Source organism: Homo sapiens, chromosome 6, assembly GCF_000001405.40.
Source record: "Homo sapiens chromosome 6, GRCh38.p14 Primary Assembly".
Lineage (NCBI taxonomy): Eukaryota > Metazoa > Chordata > Mammalia > Primates > Hominidae > Homo > Homo sapiens.
In genome coordinates, this window is record NC_000006.12 from 20,060,001 (window position 1) to 20,080,680 (window position 20,680).

At 41.0% G+C, this 20,680-nt stretch overlaps 1 long non-coding RNA gene across 1 annotated transcript; it reads right to left on the reverse strand.

Annotated features, from left to right (window-relative positions):
- Positions 1-6,850: 6,850 nt before the first annotated feature.
- Positions 6,851-15,371, reverse strand: LOC105374965 (uncharacterized). Its single transcript, XR_926566.3, has 3 exons — positions 14,521-15,371; positions 13,230-13,338; positions 6,851-11,651 (listed from the first exon to the last, which is right to left on the reverse strand). It is a non-coding gene; the product is annotated as an uncharacterized LOC105374965 (long non-coding RNA).
- Positions 15,372-20,680: the final 5,309 nt, after the last annotated feature.

Sequence of the window (20,680 nt, forward strand, 5' to 3'; positions counted from 1 at the left end):
AAAAGCTGAGGATCCATCAGACCCAGGTGGGTGTTGGCGTGGCTCTCATGGACTGGGCATGCTTCCCCAGAGCCCAGGTGGAGGGCCGCCCACAGCTTGGAAGTCTGGAAGCCCACTGCCCTGGCACGGAGTGGTGCAGGGGTGTGGGAGCACGCAGCCCTCGCCAGAATGAAAGCCGTCCTAGGGAAATGGGATAGGCCCCAGTTTACCAAGGAAGGTGGGAATACAGCTCTTTTTAGAGGCCTTAAAAGTGAGGAGAGGATTAAAATTAATTTAAAACTTCACAGGAAGCCTGCATAATGAAAACAAAACTTGATTGCAATGCTGGCTGGCACACTGTGGATCTGGAAAAGCTCACACAGCAGAGCTCTGGATAGGTTGGAGCTCACTGGGGAGATAACAACAAAACTATAGTGATGGTGATGATGATGATGATGATGATGTTAGTGGTGGTGGGGGTGGCAGTGATGGCGAAACAAAAGTCTTATCAGCCAATCTCTCATGGATCACAAAGCCCTGAGGCACTTTCATAATGTGTTCATTCATTTACTTATTCTCCCAGCAAAAGTTGTTGACCATGTAGTATGGACTAGCATGATCCTAAGTCCATTAATAAATCACCAGACCCCATGCTCAAGAAGCAGAGACAGGCATATCGACACATGATTCTAAAATTCCACATAAAAGTGTTTGGCAGAAGAAGAACAGGGTGCCATGAGAACACTTAGGAGGGGTAGCTAATTTAGACTGGGGGTTCAAGAGAGGTTTCTAAGAGGAGCTGATGCCTAGACTGAAGGTAGATGAAGGAGGTATGTGCAGAAAATGCAGAAGCCTAAGGGTGAGAGTACAGGTCATTCTGCAAAACTCAAGTGCAGGTTGAAGTGTGAAGGAGGAAAAGAAGAGCAGAGGCTGGAATGGCAAAAGCTGGTCCAGCCCTATATGCTGTGTGTACTAAACAGGGGTAAGGGTGAGGGGAGATCTTTGGGCCAAAGTAATTACAGATGAAATATACACGCACACACACACATGCACACACACACACACACACACACACACACACACTCAGAGTGGTAGCTGGACTTCAACACGGCGACCAACAATCCCCACTCCTTGTGTAGCCCTCCTCCCAATACTGTACTAATATTAGTGACCCATAGAGCACTGTGACCAATAGAACATGCCAGAAGTGATGGTATGCCACTTCTGAGATTAGGTTATAAAGGACATTGCAGTTTTGCTCTCTCCAATCACTCACTCTGGGGGAAACCAGCTGCCATGTCTTGAAGCAGCCCTTTGATGAAATCCACCTGGCAACAAACAGAGACCTTGTGAGTGAGCTTGAAGCAAACACTTCAGCCCCAGTCAATTTTCAGATGACTGCAGCCTCGTGAGAAACCATGAGCCAGAACTACCCAGCTCAAGTGTTTCTGAGCTTCAGAAACTGTGGGCGATACTAAATGTTGGTTATATAAAAGCTGCTAAGCTTTGGGCTAATTTGTTATGCAGCAACAGATAGCTAATACACCTAATAACATGGGCAAAACATATATATATTCCTATGTTAAAGAGCAGGTTGTGAAGAAACACATTTAATATGATCCTCCTTTTTACACATTACAGATTAGTTTGTTGTATTTATAAGGGTAAAGTCTTTTTTATTAATCTTTGTATCAAATGAACCATAAAAGTAATTTTAAAATATAAAGCTCCATAATAGTGTCAATTAAGGCCTGTAAATAGTATGAAAAGCAGATCGCCAGAGGCTTTTTTTTTTTTAAGACAGTGTCTTGCTCCTACCCAGGCTGGAGTACAGTGATATAGTTATAGCTCACTGCAACCTTGAACTCCTTAGCTCAAGTGGTCCTCCCACCTCAGCCTCCTGAGTAGCTGGGACTGCAGGCACATGCCACCACACCTGGGTGATTTATTTTTTATTTTTTGTATGGATAGGGTCTCACTATGTTGCCCAGGCCGGTCTCAAACTCCCAGCCTCAAGCGATCCTCTCACCTCAACCTCCCAAATAGCTGGGACTACAGGTGCATGCCACCACACCCGGCCACAAGAGGCATTTTTAAATGACAAGCTAATTCTGCAGAGCGTTGTGAAACTAGAGAGTTAAACTCACACTATGCCTCAGTTGTAGGTAGAAGTCCTGACTGTGGTTGAGAGCAGGAAGGAAGCCACCTCCTCAGCAGAGAGATATATTAACCAGAAGAGCATAGCAAAACGAGCTGAGGCAGGCCAGATGATTTTCAAGCCAGTTTTTGTGTGTGTGAGCTGCAGAGCAGGACAGACACCCAGAAAGGCCAAGCTATTCCAAAGAAGGTTAGAAGGGGTTGAGTTGGCAAAAGAGGAAAATGTACCTGCTCAAGGATTCTCAAAGTTGGGAGAAAGGCAGCCCTGACATTCTGGCTTCAGCAAGAAGAACCAGGAAGAAGTCCCAGTGGATGTGAAAACCTGTCCTCATGTAAGGTACCCCAGGGACACCCCTCAGTGGGGTGACTGGAGCTAGCCCACCATGCTGACCTCCTGTGTGTCACACAAATGTTGTTTGCTTGCCTTCTCTATCGCATTGGGCACAATGTCCCTCAATTATCGATTAAGTACAATAACATTAAGTATCTGTTTCTTGCCATCCTAACACCTTTTCTCCTAAACAGTGTTTTCCTGTATTGAAGACTTAGTATTTGTTGTAAAAGTGATGCTTAAGGACATATCAGCTTTTTCTTTTTGTTGTTGTTTTTTTCTTTCTTGACTCTTGGGGAACAGGAGGCTCTTAAAGAGTATTAGCCACAGATGTTTGAGAAACTCTCCCAAACAATGCCTCTCTGCATGAAGATATCCTGGTCTCTGGGCATCAGGGTGACAGATCACCATTAAATTCCCTATCTACCGAGAGGGGAATGCTCTGTTCTTGTTACTGAATGCCAGGGGTTTAGCCTAGGTCATGTTGCTTGCTGCACAGAAAGCCAATCACTGAGGCAATGAGTATTGCCAGGGAAGAAGGCTTTATTACAGGTAACATCAGCTGGAGAGACCAGAGACAAGCCTCAAATCCGTCTCTTTCCCCGACTGAAGTTAGGAGTTTATGTAGTTGGGGAGGAAAGCAAGAGGGGCAAGGAAGAGGAGTTGGGCAACAGGCAGCAGGTGTGTCTCATTGTTTAAATATAAGTTTCTCAAGGTTAAGTTCTATGGGCATCTGGCTTATTGTAAAATTGGTCTGGTTTCATTCTCGGTGGAAAGGACACTGGCACAATAGGGTGGGGCCAAGTGAAGACCCATCTGGTCTCCTCATTGAAAAGGCCCACTCACCATTGGACACCAAAGTCTTTGATGGAGTTTGGAGTGGGATTATGAATTACAGTGTCCACAAAGGAGGAAGGATAGAGAGGACACTAGTTATACAAATGGTAAAGAAATAATGGAAATACATCCAAGAAGAGTTTATTAAATTTTTCTCTAGTTATGGGCTTGGAACAGAGCCAAGTTTATCATATTGACTTGAATCAGTCCTCAACTTCAATAGGCATTTATCCAAAAGACCAAGTTCCCAACCCATTGTATGTTTAGATTTAAAGATAATGGCTTTACCTACTCCCACTAAATAGGACCCTGTTTTTCTACATGTACATATGACACTTATTTTTATTTGTGATGGAGATATTAATCTCAGGGCATGCCTTGTTGCCTTCTCCAGGGTACTGGGGAAGCCCTCAGTCTCCACAGTCTGAAGTGAAGTATACACACACCAAATTGCTGTATTCTTTCCACCAAATAAACGGGTTCCTCTTAGGTGTTTTCCTACATAAAAGAGCTCCTTGTGATCTTATGCACTCCATAAAATAGCACAAACATGGTGAAACATAGTTAAGCCAAAAGAGCTGCATTAACTACTCAAGCGACTACTACTGCCAACACAAAATATGAATCACTAAGCAAAACGGGATCCTTAGGAATGATGGTTTATATTGGTTATTGATTTAATAAACATTTCAGTTAAAAAAATTATTCACTTTTCATCACTATACATGGACAATTGGCTATAATCTTTCTCTGAGATACACGCCATCACTCACAAACTCAAGTTTTACATTGTCACTCAAAATCGATGACAAAATGAGGGAACTTTGCATCCCTGTTTTTTTTCAAGTGTAGATGGACTTCTAATTTTTTTACATGTAGAAATGCCTAAAATTATGGATACAGTTTGGCAAGATTCTGTTAAAGAATTTAAGGAAAGATAGAAATGTTGCCTTATTTCATAGACTGGCTAACAGTGGAAGCTGACATCTGTCAAGTATGTTGTCATACCTGGACATCATTGTTGAGGCAGGAAGAGCGGGTTTTATCAGATTTCTTGACTGTAAAATCTGCATTCCACTGAAAATTCAGCATGTTTACAGCACATCACAATGTCTCCCTCGTTGCCACCTACTCTTTTATTTTATTTGTATAACTATGCAGTTCTGTTACTTGGAAGGATGTTTGAGATGGATCACAAAACCTGCAGACTCTGTTAACCTGATGTGACATTGGAGCTACTAGGATTCCTTTAAAAACCATTAGCATGCTTTAAAAAGAGATCGAACTCAGATGGTAGTGAAAAATGTCAGTCTCATGGACGTGGCTAGAATGAGCAAATGCTTTGCCTCTTGAATTCTGGCCGTTTCAGCGGGGAGGTAGGCAAACTGACCTTGGGGCTGCTCATGTGGAGGGCACAGCCTTCTGACATTGTCTACTTTTAAATGCTTCCTGAGACTTCTTGCCTATGCGCCATCTTTTGCCAATGACTTTGTTTAACCAAGTTCCTGGGCAACTAGGACTCGCTGCCTCTTTGCTGCAAGGTCTATCGTAGGTTATTAAATTTTTGGCTTAAACAGTTTATAAAAATACTTTCTATAAAACAGATTTAGCAATAGGCAGACGCTTTCTCTGACTAGTGGAGTCCACTAGGCAGATGGTACTGTTTCTTGGCTATTGGGATGAATTCTCTGTGGGAAGCTGCTTAACCACTTTGTATTAGTTTGATTTAAGGCCTTGATGTGATAGGCTTGTGGTTTAAAAATATTAAAGATATTAAGATTTAATTCACTAAAATGTATTCCGAGGGGGGTGGAGATTTTATACTTTTATACTTGTTTAGATAGCCTGTATTTTAGCAACCTAAAGTTTAATGCCTGAATTTCCTCCAAAAAAATGGCAAATAAAATTGTATATGAATATGCATTTTAAAATTTGATGGCAAAATAAATCACTGGTGTATTGGAAAGACCATGGACAATGGAGTCAGACAGACCTAAGTTTAAATCCCAGATTTCCTACTTGTTATTACTTAACCTCTCTGGATCTGTTTTCTTTTCTATAAAATGAGGATTCGCATCCCCTCTCCACCTCCTAGGTTATCACTACAATGTGCCTTATAAAAAATGGCATTTGACTGCAGATGAGTTCTTGAGACCAGAGACTTACCTTGATATTCCTAATGCAGGCTGGGCATATAGTCAGAGTCCAAAATGTTTCCTGATGTAAATTAAGTTGATGTTGAGCCATTGGGAGGTTGTGAGTTCATTTTCCATCACTTAAGTGATACTGACAGATTTCCTGCCAAGTGGACTCACAGTAAACAGGACTCCAGGCTCCCACCAATAAAATAAAAGAAAAATGGCTCCAGAGAGGATCCTCCAGCTGGTCCAAAAGTAATCCCAGTATAAAATATTAGGCTTGTTTGTTTACTTAAGCCTCTGCCAACTGTGAATTTAACACTCAGAAATGCATATGCAAAATAATGGTTCCATGTTTTGAGACAAAAGTTTCACTTGTCTGCTAAGAGTTTTGGCACCACAACCAGCAGCAGATAAGTTCACTGGGTCTCTTACCCTGACAATGTTTGAGAACTTGAGAACCCAAGATTTCAGTTCTAGTATTAGCTCTTCAGCTAACCACTCTGGACCATGGAAGGTCTTGAAATCTCCTTATCACTGACCTACCCATGAGGGCAATCTCTGGGTCAGTGGAATAAAGATTATCACTCCCTTTTTCAAAATGGGGAAAGAGGAATCATCACAAAGTGATTTGCCATGCCGAGAGTGCCTCCCTGAACAGGGAAATAGGCCTTGAAACCTTGGGAACAGGGCAGCCACTTTTTAATTTTAATTTTCAAATAAGTAGTAATTCACATTATTCAATGTGTATATATATTATATAACATATAATTATAATTTTATATATAATATATACACATAACATAAACAGACCCTTCACCAAAGAGCATATAAGGAGCATATAAGGATGGCAAATAAGCACATTATGGACTGCTAGAGAATTTCAAATAAAACCCGCAATGAAATAGCTCAACCTAGTAAAGTGGCTAAAATGCAAAATATTGACAACATCAAATGCTAGTGAGGATGGGAGGCAACCAGAACGCTCATACACTGTTGGAGGAAATGGAAAAAGTATATCCACTTTGGAAGAGATTGGCAGTTTCTTATAATGGTACACACACGTTTGCCACACAACTCAGCAATCCCACCTCTGGGTATTTGCCCAACAGTAATGAAAACATGCTCATACAAAAGCATGTCCATAAATATTTGGAACAGCTCTATTCACAGCTGCCCAAATGGGAAACAGCCTGAATGTCTAACAGGTGAATGGATATACAGAAAAACATCCATGCCATGGAATTCTCTTCACTAAGCAAAAGAAACAAACCGTTGACATGCACAGCAGCTTGGATGAGTCTCAAAGGCATCATTCTGAGTAAAGGAAGTCAGTCTCAGGTTACGTACAGTATAATATTGTGTTAGGCCGTTCTCACGTTGCCATGAAGAAATACCTGAGACTGGGTAATTTATAAAGAAAAGAGGTTTTATTGGTTCATGGTTCTGCAATGCTATTGGAAGCATGGTGGCAGCACCTGCTCAGCTTCTGGGGAGGCCTCAGGAAGCTTACAATCATGGCAGAAGATGAAAGGGGGGCTGGTGTCTTACATGGCAAGAGTGGAAGGAAGAGAGAGAGGGAGAAGGGAGGTGCCACACATTTTTCTTCAACCAGATCTCGGGAGAACTCACTATCGAAAAAACATCACCAAGCCATGAGGGATCCGCCCCTGTGACCCAAACACTGCCCACCAGTCTCCACTTTTAACACTGCGGATTGCACTTCAACATGAGGTTTTTAGGGGACAACATCCAAATCATATCAAATATTCATATGACATTCTTGAAAAGACAAAACTACAGCAAGAAGGAGAAAGCTGTCATAATTAGAGAAACAGTCTAAGCCCGCCCAGGAACACAGCCCCGTTACACCCCAGAGTCAGTGTAGGTGTCCCAGGAAGATCTCCCTGACGCCCCTCCATCACCCTGCTATGCTCCAGTAGCAAAGCATTTCAAACCGTTCTATTTCTTAAATTGTTTTAAATTGACACATTGTAATTATACATTTTATGGGTAAAGTTTGATGTTTCAATACATACATGCGTTGTATAATGATTAAATCAGGGTAGTTAGCATATCCAGCACCTCATGCTTTTATCATTGCTTTGCAGTGAGACAGCCCATCATATTTTAAATTATCAGTTTACACACTTAGAAGCCTCTCAAAGCCAGGAGCCAAGTCTTTTTCATCATCATATTCTTTGGGGAGCATTTCCGTTTATAAATGTTTATGTAATCCATAGCGCTGTGACCCCTTGCTCCTGGCACAGTCCCGGACATACAGTAGGAACTCAATCAATGTTGGTCCAACTTCAGTGTTGGATTCTGCAAGGAGAGAGGGATTTAAGAGCCCTCTCAGGAGTTTCTAGAATCCTTACGTCATGGTCATAACTAAAGTCTCGAGTTGGCAACCTCCAAATTATGGGCCACAACGTCATAATATCAGTTGATCGGCAGAACTTCAGGACACTGCTTACCATAATTGCTATAATTTTTTCTCTCTTCCTTTCCAAAAAAAAATGCAAAAAATTTCAAGTGTCTCCATGTACCACTGGACAAAGGAAATGCCCTGTGATGCAAACATTTGTTAATAATGATAGCAATGGTCCCTGTTTTTCCAAATACAAGGAGCCTTTAGCTTTTTGTTCAACTCATCACTTCTGTAAAATCATAGACTGTTCTTCCTGACTTTTTCACAGGGTCCTCAGACTTAGAATTCATAAAATCACAGCATTCTAGAACTGCATGGAGCCTGGGAGCTTCCAATTCAGTCTTCCTTCTTAAAGCTGCTTCCACCTTAAAGAGACTCATTTCTTTTAGAGCTGCTTAAAACAGTGCAAATCTTACCTTTTCACTTAATTACAATCTTGCATTTTGCTTTTCACTTAATTACAATCTTGCATTTTGCAAATACTTTGCTGGTTTCAGAAACCGGTGTTCTGGGTTTTGTTGATGCTGCTGCTGCTTCTGTTGTTGTTGTTGTTGTTGTGTTATTAGCTTTGGCAGTGTTAGCATTGGCAGCTGAGAGTCCCTGATTCACAATCCGGTGCTTTATTTGCCAAGTGTAGACACAACCCAAAAGCGGGAAGCTGAGCGCCCAAAGGAAGAGGGGCCGGTCCCCCTGGCATTGTGTGCTTTGCAGAGAGGAAATGAGAACCCACCAGGCCGGCTCCTTCCCCTCACCCTATCTCCCGAATGCAGTTTTTCCAATAATTTAATAACATTCACAGGGATATTAGATTAATTGGATTTTAATTCCGAATGACTGTGAAAGCGGAGAAATGAGTCACCAGCTCATGCTAATGAGAAGATCTATTAAGGGCTCTTTTCTGATAGACACATACAGCAGGGTTATAAATATTTCATATCTAATTAATTGAATTTTGCCCCCTATATATGACACTGCCCTGAAACATCAATCAAACAGGGCCAGAGAAAGAACAGAGGGATGGAAGAAAAACTAAGCGTTTCTTTGGAACAGCAACAACACAACTACCGGCCCTTCCCTCCCTCCCAGCCCCTGAAACATTCCCCCCACCATGAGAACCCCTGCCATTCGCAGGGGGCCTGCCGAGAGGAGCTGGAAGCATTTACACCAACTGCAGCTGGTTCCATACGGCGGGGAAATTAATGTTAATTAATCAGACAGCAGTTTTATACAAGGCTGTGTGCAGAAGGTTATTCGAGTCCTACTGCAAATAGATTTATAGGTGTAATTGCTATGTTGAATGACCCTCTGTAAATAGGCTCATTAAACTGGCCATCAGTCAAAAAGTCTAATTGTAGCCATGCAGTAGCCTGCAATCGGGAACATGTGGCTCTCGATAAACAGCTCGCCCATGGCAGCCTGCGCTCTGGACGGTTTAGATAGGGCTGCTGGTCGTACTTCAGGTGGCCCCAGTTTCTCTGCCTCCCTCAGTTCATTATCTCGGCAGGAAGGCGGAAGCATGCCATCCGCCCAGCTTTATCCTCTTCCTGTCTGTTGGCCCCTGGAGAGCATATGGAAGTCTGCAATGGCAAGCACCCAGTGGAGACCCTGTGCAGAGCAGGTGAATACAGTTTTCTGAGAGGCATGAATAATCACCACCCTGCTCCGTTATCTTGCCGGTGTGGTCATGGTTGGGCAAGGACAAGTAGCCAGGCATGTACAGGGCGTGCATGGACCGCATCTCTGAACATCCCACAGCCATTTACAAGCTCCCTGTCAAATTCGTATTCTCTGTTCTTTTTATTCCCCCACACTCCCATATTCAAAGAATAAATACAATTTATTTTTCTCCATATATGAAACAAAGAAAACCAAGCTGTAGTTATAACTGAAAGTCTCTGAAAGCTTTCTGGAGTGAATTGTGTCTATTTAATTAAAAATAACAAATGTCTATCAATAGGGGTCTGAGTGTCTACATTTTGACATTTATAGACAATGGAATACCAAGGACATATTTAAGATAATTTTCATGGAGATCGATATTTATTAATCCAGAAAGCTGTCTATGATGTATATTTGCATGGTCAAAAAAGCAGATTACAGAACAGATATAATGTGTTTCCATATATTTATCCATGGCTGAATAAGCAGAGAAAATGTAAGGTTTTTTTCTTGATGTCTCTCCATTCCCTCTCATAATCTCCCATTCAGCAGTTAGTAGAAAGCAAAAAGCAAACACACAGAAAACGAAATTTCTAATTTTGATTAAGCTCAACCCAATCTGAGCATGTAAATGGTCCTTTCACTAATACTCTGTCTCTTTTAGGAAAACTTCCCAGTTTCTACATGGCTTCTTATGCTGGTTAATTTTGTGTCAACTTGACTGGGCTACAGGGTGCCCAGATGTTTCATTAATCATTATGATGGGCGAGTCTGTGAGGGTGTTTCTGGATGAGATTCGCATTTACATTGGGAGATTGAGCAAAGCAAATTGCCCTCCCCAATTTGGGTGAGCTTCATCCAATCTGTGGAAGGCTTGAATGGAACAAAAAGGCTGAGTAAGGGAGAATTCACTGTCTTTCTGTCTGTCTTGGAGCTGGACATTGGTCTTCTCATGCCTTCAGAGTCACACTTGGCCTCGAATTTCCACCATCAGCTTCTCAGGCTTTTAGCTTCAGACTGAAACTCAACTATCAGCTCTCCTGGGTCTCCAGCTTGCCAACTACACATCTTAAGACTTCTTAGCCTCCATAACCATGTAAGCCAATTCTTTATAATGACTCTCTTTATATAGTGCTTTTACTGGTTCTATTTGTCTGGAGAACCCTTACTAATATACTCTCTTTACCCACTTCTCTTCCCTAGATGTTAGCCAGGCATGTGAGCTGAGAACTGTGTGTTTGGCGGAGGGAAGAGCCAGGTCTTTGATGGTCTTTTGAGTAGTCTCTGGTGCCTGAGGCAGTGTCCTTTGTCCCTCAGCTAACTTCTGTGGCCATTGGTCTCTTTCTCAGCTTGCCCAGAGTGGGAACTCCTTCCTGATTGATTCAGGTTTGCATGGGCTTCTCAAGCCTCAGACCCCAGATCTCTTTCAAGCTCCCCATCCAGTCTGCAGGCCCAGGTGCTCACCCAGCTTTGTAGCCAAGTCATTGGGCTTCACCTTGAGAAACTCCCAAAGCAGGCCCTCTGGGCCTCCATCCATCACCCACCCCACATAGAACTTGAGGAAATCAAGAAACAACCTCAGGCTTCCCTTGGCCTGACTGTGCTCACCTTCGAGATGGTGCAGCTGTGTTCAAACTGGGGTTAGGATGTGTTGAGAGGGGACTTCTTCCCAGAGTCCTAAGAGTCACCTCCTCTGCCTTCCACATTACCCTCCCTTATGAAACACACCTCCTCCGTCACAGGGCCTGTGCCTGGAACCCCAGGATGGACTCCCTCTCTCTCCCTCAGTTCCCTTCTCACCCTCATCTAGAGCTGGAAAAAAAGAAGTCTTCCCTTACTTTCCCTACATCCTACCCTCCTTTTGCTTACAAGTGGCAAGTCTTGTGATAAGCAGATTCCTCTAGGTTAGGCCCTTGAGAGATGGAAGAGAGAGGATCAAGTTACTTGGGAAATGCTCTCTCTAGACCCTACCCTGTTTACTATGTTGCCTTCTAATCTATTTTGTATGCCAGAAGCTGGAAATGGCCTTATTCTTTCTCTTTGTGTACCTTCTTTTAAAAAATCCTAAGTTTTCCCAAGTCTGATGAATATCTAGTGCCAACCTGGAAAAAGGTCCAAGCTGTAAAACAAAAAACAAAACGGTACAATAGTAATGCTAAAATATTATCTTGTTAGTATTTATATATGCCTAGAATCATGTCTGAAAGAATATTCACCACAAAGATATTGTTAACTATTTCTGAATACCATAGTCCCCGCTGATCTGCGGTTTCACTTTCTACGGTTTCAGTTACCTGAGATCACCTATAGCCTGAAAATATTAAATGAAAAATTCCAGAAATAAACAAATCATAAGTTTTAAGTTGCACACTGTCCTGAGCAGCGTGATGAAATCTCACACCATCCTGCACCATCCCATGTGAAACGTGAATCCTCCCTTTGTCCAGCCTATCCACGTTGGAGATGCTCCCTGCTCGTTACACACTTAGAAGCCCTCTTGGTTATCAGATTCAAAAAAACATAGCATATAGAGAATTTGGTACTATTGGAGGTTGCAGTCATACACTGGGGGTCTTGGAATATATTCCCTGTGGATAAGGGAGAACTACTGTGGTAGGAATAGGAAATTAGGATGATTTGTAACTTTCTTCATTTTGCTGACGCCAGCTTTTGTGGCGTTAAGAGAGTCAGTTCCTTCATTAACAGCACATACTGAGGGACCACCACGCTCAGGCTCCATTCTAGGGGCTGGGAATGTAGTGGTGTACAGGAGAGGCGGGAGAAGGGATCCACTGAAGGACCACTGTGGCCCAACCCATGTTTCAAAGGCATTGCTCCAGCTGCGTTGCTGAGAATAGAGTAGAGGCAGGGCGCGATGCCAGGCTGGAAGCAGGACTAGTTATGAGGCTCCAGCAATGTTCTGGGAGAGCAACGTCAGTATTTCCCTGGTTTAAATTGCTGACCCCACGTATTGGTTGCCTACAGCTGCTGTAACAAAGCATCAGACTTAGTGGCTTAAAACAACACAAAATTGTTACCTTACAGTTCTGGAGGTCAGAAGCCAAAATTAGTTTTATTGGGATAAATGTTCTTGAGCAGGGCTGCATCCCTTCAGGAGACTAGAGGAAAAGCCTTTTTCTTCCCCATTCCAGCCTCTAAAGGCTGCCCACATTCCTTGGCTCAGGGCCCTCTTCCATCTTCAAAGCCAGCAATGGTGGGTGGAGTCTCTCATTTTGTATCATTTGTGATTAATTGGGCCCATCCAGATAATCTAGGATAGTCTCCCTATTTTAAGGTCAACTGATTAACAACCATAATTCCATCTGCCACGTTAATTCCCATTTGCCATGGAATATATTCATACATTCTAGGGATTAGGGTGTGGACATCTTTGTGGGGGAGGTCATAATTCTGCCTACCCTATCCCAGCAGGCCAATAAGAGTCTCCCATGAGATTTTTTTTTTTTTTTTTTTTGAGACAGGTTTTCACTCCTTGGAGTGCAATGGTGTGATTTCAGCTCACTGCAACCTCCATCTCCCAGGCTCAAGTGATTCTCCTCCCTCAGCCTCCCAAGTAGCTAGGACTACAGGAACACATCACCACTCCCAGATGATTTTTGTATTTTTTTTGTAAAGATGGGGGTCACCATGTTGCCCAGGCTGGTCTTGAACTCCTGTGTTCAAGTGATCCGCCTACCTTGGCTTCACAAAGTGCCAGGATTACAGGTGTGAGCCATCGTGCCTGGCCCCCTGATATTTAGCATTGTCACTCAGAGCCATTCATCGATCAGGTTTCTGATTTGACCCTATAGAGTGTGAGAATTAAATGAGATAACCTCAGCTCTTATTTACATAATAAGTTACATATTAAAACTCATATAACTATAATATAGTTGCAGTCATATATTAAATGCTCAATAAAGATTAGTTTCTATTGGTATCACTAAATATCTTTAGAGATGGGCTTAATTGTCTGTGCTTAAGTCTCCCTATTATTTTAACTTCAATGCATTTACTAATGACATTTGCTGAGTACTAGCCATATGCCAGGTGCTTTGTATGCACTATTCATTTAATCTTTAATACATCCCTTTGAGATAATTACTAGTATTATCCCATAATAAAAATGAAAAAAATGAGACATTAAACAAAATGAAGTCACATGGTCAAGGGCATACAACCCAGAAATGGCAGCAGCAGCATCGGAATCCCAGGCTCATAACTTTAACTCTAATCTGCTCCAGTGTTCATGACAGCACTGTGACTTGAGAGCTGAGAAGATGTGAAGGGTGCTTTTCACCAGTTACACAAGAATAACTGATTTATCATTTTAAATTTTTTTCTCATAAAAATGACATATGATCATTGTAAAAGATTCCAAACAATCCAGAAAAGTGATTTCTTTTGATTCCAGGTAACACAAAAATGTCAAATTCGTTTAAATAAAACAAAGGATTCATTCTTCTTGGGGAAGATTGAGCAGATACTGCTGCTGCCATTTCTGGCTGTATGCCCTTGACCATGTGACTTCGTTTTTTTTAATATCTCATTTTTTTCATTTTTATTATGGGATAATACTAGTAATGATCTCAAAGGGATGTATTAAAGATTCATTCTTCTTGGGGAAGAATGAATTTTAAGATTAAGTTCATGGAGCCCAAGAACAGAAATGCCACATGGTCTCCCAAGGAACTCACTCAACCAGAATCTCAGGAAATAATTTAAAAAGCGGTCTGCATGTTCAATTTTTTCAGAAAGGGAAGTGGTTACCTATATTTTGTCAAGTCAGTCAACAAACATTCATCGAGGGCAACTCTATGCCAGACATTGTGGGAAAGACGAGAAAACCATGGTTGAGAGTTTCTGAAAATGGCAGACTAAGATGGTGAATAGGAGGCAAGATTAGCTTGCAGCTCCCACTCAGGCAGAGCGGCCTGCGGAGACTCACATCATGAACTTTTGCTCCAAGAACTACCACAGATACATACCAGGAAAGCCGAGAGAATCCACAGACCCTTTGAAGGAACTGGATCACCACTGCAGGCTCCCTGAGATGCTGAAAAACTGTGAGTCTACTTGCTTTCTCAAAGGGGAGACTCATGGTCTGGAGCAAGTTCTCAGCCCTGGTCATCGGATGCCTGGAAATAGAGTCAGTGCTGTTGTAGGGGCATGGTGGGAGTGAGACCAGCCTTTAGGATGGCAGGCTGCATCAGAGCAGGGTGAAACCTGTGACTGCCCTCTTTTCCCTACTTCCCTGGCAACTTGTATGACTCAGCAGAGGCAAATATTCCCTGGGAATATAACTCCATTGGACTGGGAAGCACACCTCCATCCCCCACAGCAGCTGCAGCAAGCCCTGCCCAAGGAGAGGCTGAGCTCAGACATGCCTATCCCTGCCCCAAGCTGGTGGCCTTTTTCTACCCACCCTGATAGCCAAAGACAAAGGTCATAAACTCTTGGGAGCTCTACGGCCCTGCTCACTGCCTGGGAAACCTGAATACTTAACCAGGTGTCCCTAGGGCAAGTTTGCATCCTCTCTATAGGACTGCAGCTGACACGCTCTTGAAAAAGCACCACCTCCTGGCTGGAGGCCAACACAAAACCAGGGCACTAAACAAAAACACAATCAAGGACCCACACAGAGTCCACTTCACTCCCCTGCCACCTCCACTGAAGCAGGTGTTGGTATCCATAGATGCAAGACCTGAAGGCGGGTCACATCACAGGACTCTTTGCAGATACTCCCCAGTACCCCAACCCGGAGCCAAGTAGCTCCACTGGGTGGCCAGACCCAGAAGAGCAAAAACAGTCACTACAGTTTGGCTCTCAGGGAGCCCCATTCCTGGGGGAAGGGAGAACATCACATCAAGGAGCACCCCATGGGACAAAAGAATCTGAACAACAGCCCTTGAGTCGTAGCTAGATCTTCCCTCTGAGAGAGTCCACCCAAATGAGAATCAGAAAAACAGTTCTGGTAATATGACAAAACAAGGTTCTTTAACACCCCCAAAAGATCATACCAGCTCACCAGCAATGGAATCAAACCAAGACAAAATCTCTGAATTGACAGAAAACGAATAAGGTCAAGAAAGTCAATTATTAAGCTAATCAAGGAGCCACCAGAGAAAGTTGAAGTCCAATTTAAAGAAATCAAGAACATGATACAGGATATGAAGGGAAAATTCTTCAGTGAAATAGACTGCATAAATAAAAAACAATCACAATTTCTGGAAATCAAGGACACACTTAGAGAAATGCAAAATGCACTGGAAAGCCTCAGCAATAGAATTGAACAAGCATAAGAAAAAACTTCAGAGCTTGAAGACAAGGCTTTGAATTAACCCAATCTATTAAAGACAAGGAAAAAATAATTTTTTAAAAAATGAACATAGCCTTTAAGAAGTTTGGGACTGTGTTAAATATCCAAACCTAAGAATAACTGGTGTTCCTGAGGAAGAGAAATCCAAAAGTTTGCAAAACATATTTGAGGAAATAATCGAAGAAAACTACCCTGGCCTTGATACAGATCTAGACATCCAAATACAAGAAGCTCAAAGAACACCTGGGAAATTCACTGCAAAAAGATCATTGCCGAGGCACATAGTCATCAGGCTATCTAAAGTCAAGACAAAGGAAAGAATCTAAAGAGCTGCGAGGCAAAAGCATCAGGTAACCTATAAAGGAAAACCTATCAGATTAACAGCAGATTTCTCAGCAGGAACCCTACAAACTACAAGAGATTGGGGTCCTATTTTAGCCTCCTTAAACAAAGCAATTATCAGCCAAGAATTTTGTATCCAGCAAAACTAAGCTTTAGAAGTAAAAGAAAGATATAGTCTTTTCCAGAAAAACAAATGCAGAGAGAATTCGCCACTTCCAAGCCAGCACCACAAGAACTGCTAAAAGGAGCTCTAAATCTTGAAACAAATCCTTGAAATACACCAAAATATAACCTCACAAATCTCACAGGACCTCTATAACAATAACACAATGAAAAAAAAAAAGGTATTGAGGCAACAAATAGCACAATGAATAGTACCTCGCATCTCAATACTCACATTGAACATAAATGGCCTAAATGCTCCACTTAAAAGATACAGAATGGCAGAAAGGATAAGAATTCACCAACCAAGTTTCTGCTGTCTTCAGGATACTCACCCAAAACATAAGGACCCACATAAACTTAAGGTAAAGGGGTGGAAAAAGATATTCCTTGCAAATGGACACCAAAAGTAAGCAGGAGTACCTATTCTTATATCAGAAAAAGCAAACTTTAAAGCAACAGCAGTTAAAAAAGACAAAGAGGGATATTATACAATGATAAAAGGACTAGTTCAAAAGGAAAATAGGGACACAATTCTAAATATATACACACCTAACACTGGAGCTCTCAAGTTTATAAAACAACTACTACTAGACCTAAAAGATGAGATAGATAGCAACACAATAATAGTGGGGGACTTTAATACTCTACTGACAACACTAGACAGGTCATCAAGACAGAAAGTCAACAAAGAAACAATGGGCCTAAACTATACCCTACAACAAACAGACTTAATAGATATTTACAGAATGTTCTACCCAACAACTGCAGAATGTACATTCTATTCATCAGCACATGGAATATTCTTCAAGTTAGACCATATGATAGGCCACAAAACAAGTCTCAGTAAATTTAAGAAAATTGAATTTATATCAGATAGTCTCTCAGACAACAGTAGAATAAAATTGGAAATCAACTCCAGAAAGAACCCCCAAAACCATGCAAATACATGGAAATTAAATAACCTGCTCCTGAATGATCATTGGATCAACAATGAAATTAAGATGGAAATTAAAAAATTCTTTGAACTGAATGATAATAGTGACACAACCTATCAAAACCTCTGGGATACAGCAAAAGCAGTGCTAAGAGGAAAGTTCATAGCATTAAATGCCTACATCAGAAAGTCTGAAAACAAATAGACAATGTAAGGTCCCACCTTACAGAACTAGAGAAACAAGAACAACCCAAACCCAAACCCAGCAGAAGAAAAGAAATAACAAAGATCAGAGCAGAAATAAATGAAATTGAAAAAAAAACAATATAAAAGATAAATGAAATAAAAAGGTGGTTCTTTGAAAATATAAATAAAATTGATGGACCATTAGCAAGATTAACCAAGGAAAGAAAAGAGAAGATCCAAATAAGCTCAATTAGAAACGAAATGGGAGCTATTACAACTGATGCCACAGAAATACAAAAGATTATTCCAAGCTACTATGAAAACCTTTATGCACATAAACTAGAAAACGTAGAGGAGATGGATAAATTCATGGAAATATACAACCCTCTTAGATTAAACCAGGAAGATACAGAATCTCTGAACAGACCAATAACAAGCACCAAGGGTGAAATGGTAATTTTAAAATTGCCAACAAAAAAAAAAGTCCAGGACCAGATGGATTCACAGCTGAATTCTAATAGTCATTGAAAGAAGAATTGGTACCAATCCTATTGACAGTATTCCAAAAGATAAAGAAAGAGGGAATCCTCCCTAACTCATTCTATGAAGCCAGTATTACCCTAATACTGAAACCAGGGAAGGACATAACAAAAAAAGAAAACTGCAGACCAATATCCCTGATGAACATAGATGCAAAAATCCTCAACAAAATACTAGCAAACCAAATCCAACAGCATATCAAAAAGATAATCCACCATGATTAAGTGGGTTTCATACCAGGGATGCAGGGATGGTTTAACATATGTAAGTCAATAAATGTGATATATCACATAAACAGAATTAACAACAAATCACATGATCATCTCAATAGATGCAGAAAAAGCGTTTGACAAAATCCTTTATGATTAAAACTCTCAGCAAAATCAGCATAGAAGGGACACATCTTCAGGCCATCTATGACAAACCCACAGCCAACCTTATGCTGAATGGGGAAAGGATGAAAGCATTCCCCCTGAGAACTGGAACAAGACAAGGATGCCCACTTTCACCACTTCTATTCAACGTAGTACTGGAAGTCCTAGCCAGAGCAATCAGACAACAGGAAGAAATAAATGGCATCCAAATCCGTAAAGAGGAAGTCAAACTGTTGTTGTTTGCTGGTGATATGATAATATGCCTAGAAAACCCTAAAGACTCATCCAAAAAGCTCCTAGAACTGATACATGAATTCAGCAAAGTTTCCAGATAAAAAATTAATGTACACAAATCAGTAGTTCTGCTATACACCAACAGCGACCAAGCTGAGAATCAAATCAAGAACTCAACCACTTTCAGAATAGCTGCAAAAAAAATATATATATATATATACTTAGGAATATACCTAACCAAGGATATAAAAGATCTCTACAAGACAAACTACAAAACACTGCTGAAAGCGATCATAGATGACACAAACAAATGGAGACATATCCCACACTTACGGATGGATAGAATCAATATTGTGAAAACGACCATACTGAGAAAAATGACCACACTACAAATTCAGTGCAATTTCTATTTAAAAAAAAAAACCACCATCATTCTTCACAGAACTAGAAAAAAGTTCTAAAATTCATGTGGAACCAAAAAAGAGCCTGCATAGCCAAAGCAAGACTAAGCAAAAAGAACAAATCTGGAGGCATCACATTACTCAACTTAAAACTATACTATAAGGACATAGTCACCAAAACAGCATGGTACTGGTATAAACATAAGCATATAGAACAATAGGCATATAGACAACCCAGAAATAAAGCCAAATACTTACAGCCAACTGATCTTCAACAAAGAAAACAAAAATATAAAGTGGGGAAAGGATATCCTATTCAACAAATTCTGCTGGGATAATTGACAGCCACATGTGGAAGAATGAAACTGGATCTTCATCTCTCATCCTAAACAAAAATCAACTCAAGATGGATCAAAGACTTAAATCTAAGACATGAAACCATAAAGATTCTAGAAGATAACATTGGAAAAGCCCCTCTAGACACTGGCTTAGGCAAAGACTTCATGACCAAGAACCCAAAAGCAAATGCAAGAAAAACAAAGATAAATAGATGGGGCTTAGTTAAACTAAAAAGCTTCTGCACAGCAAAAGAAATAAGAGTTAACACACAACCCACAGAGTGGGAGAAAATCTTCACAATCTATATATCTGACAAAGGACTAATATCCAGAATCTACAAAGAACTCAAATTGGCAAAAAAAACAAACAAACAATCCCATGAAAAAGTGAGCCAAGATATGAATAGACTATTCTCAAAAGAAGATATCCAAAAGAGCAAAGCTGGAGGCATCACATGACCTGACTTCAAACTATACTACAAGGCTACAGTAACCAAAACAGCATGGTACTGGTACCAAAACAGAGATATAAATCAATGGAACAGAACAGAGCCCTCAGAAATAATACCACATATCTACAACTATCTGATCTTTGACAAACCTGAGAAAAACAAGCAATGGGGAAAGGATTCCCTATTTAATAAATGGTGCTGGGAAAACTGGCTAGCCATATGTAGAAAGCTGAAACTGGATCCCTTCCTTACACCTTATACAAAAATCAATTCAAGATGGATTAAAGACTTACACGTTAGACCTAAAACCATAAAAACCCTAGAAGAAAACCTAGGCATTACCATTCAGGACATAGGCATGGGCAAGGACTTCATGTCTAAAATACCAAAAGCAATGGCAACAAAAGCCAAAATTGACAAATGGGATCTAGTTAAACTAAAGAGCTTCTGCACAGCAAAAGAAACTACCATCAGAGTGAACAGGCAACCTACAAAATGGGAGAAAATTTTCACAACCTACTCATCTGACAAAGGGCTAATATCCAGAATCTACAATGAACTCAAACAAATTTACAAGAAAAAAACAAACAACCCCATCAAAAAGTGGGCGAAGAACATGAACAGACACTTCTCAAAAGAAGACATTTATGCAGCCAAAAAACACATGAAAAAATGCTCACCATCACTGGCCATCAGAGAAATGCAAATCAAAACCACAATGAGATACCATCTCACACCAGTTAGAATGGCAATCATTAAAAAGTCAGGAAACAAGAGGTGCTGGAGAGGATGTGGAGAAATAGGAACACTTTTACACTGTTGGTGGGACTGTAAACTAGTTCAACCATTGTGGAAGTCAGTGT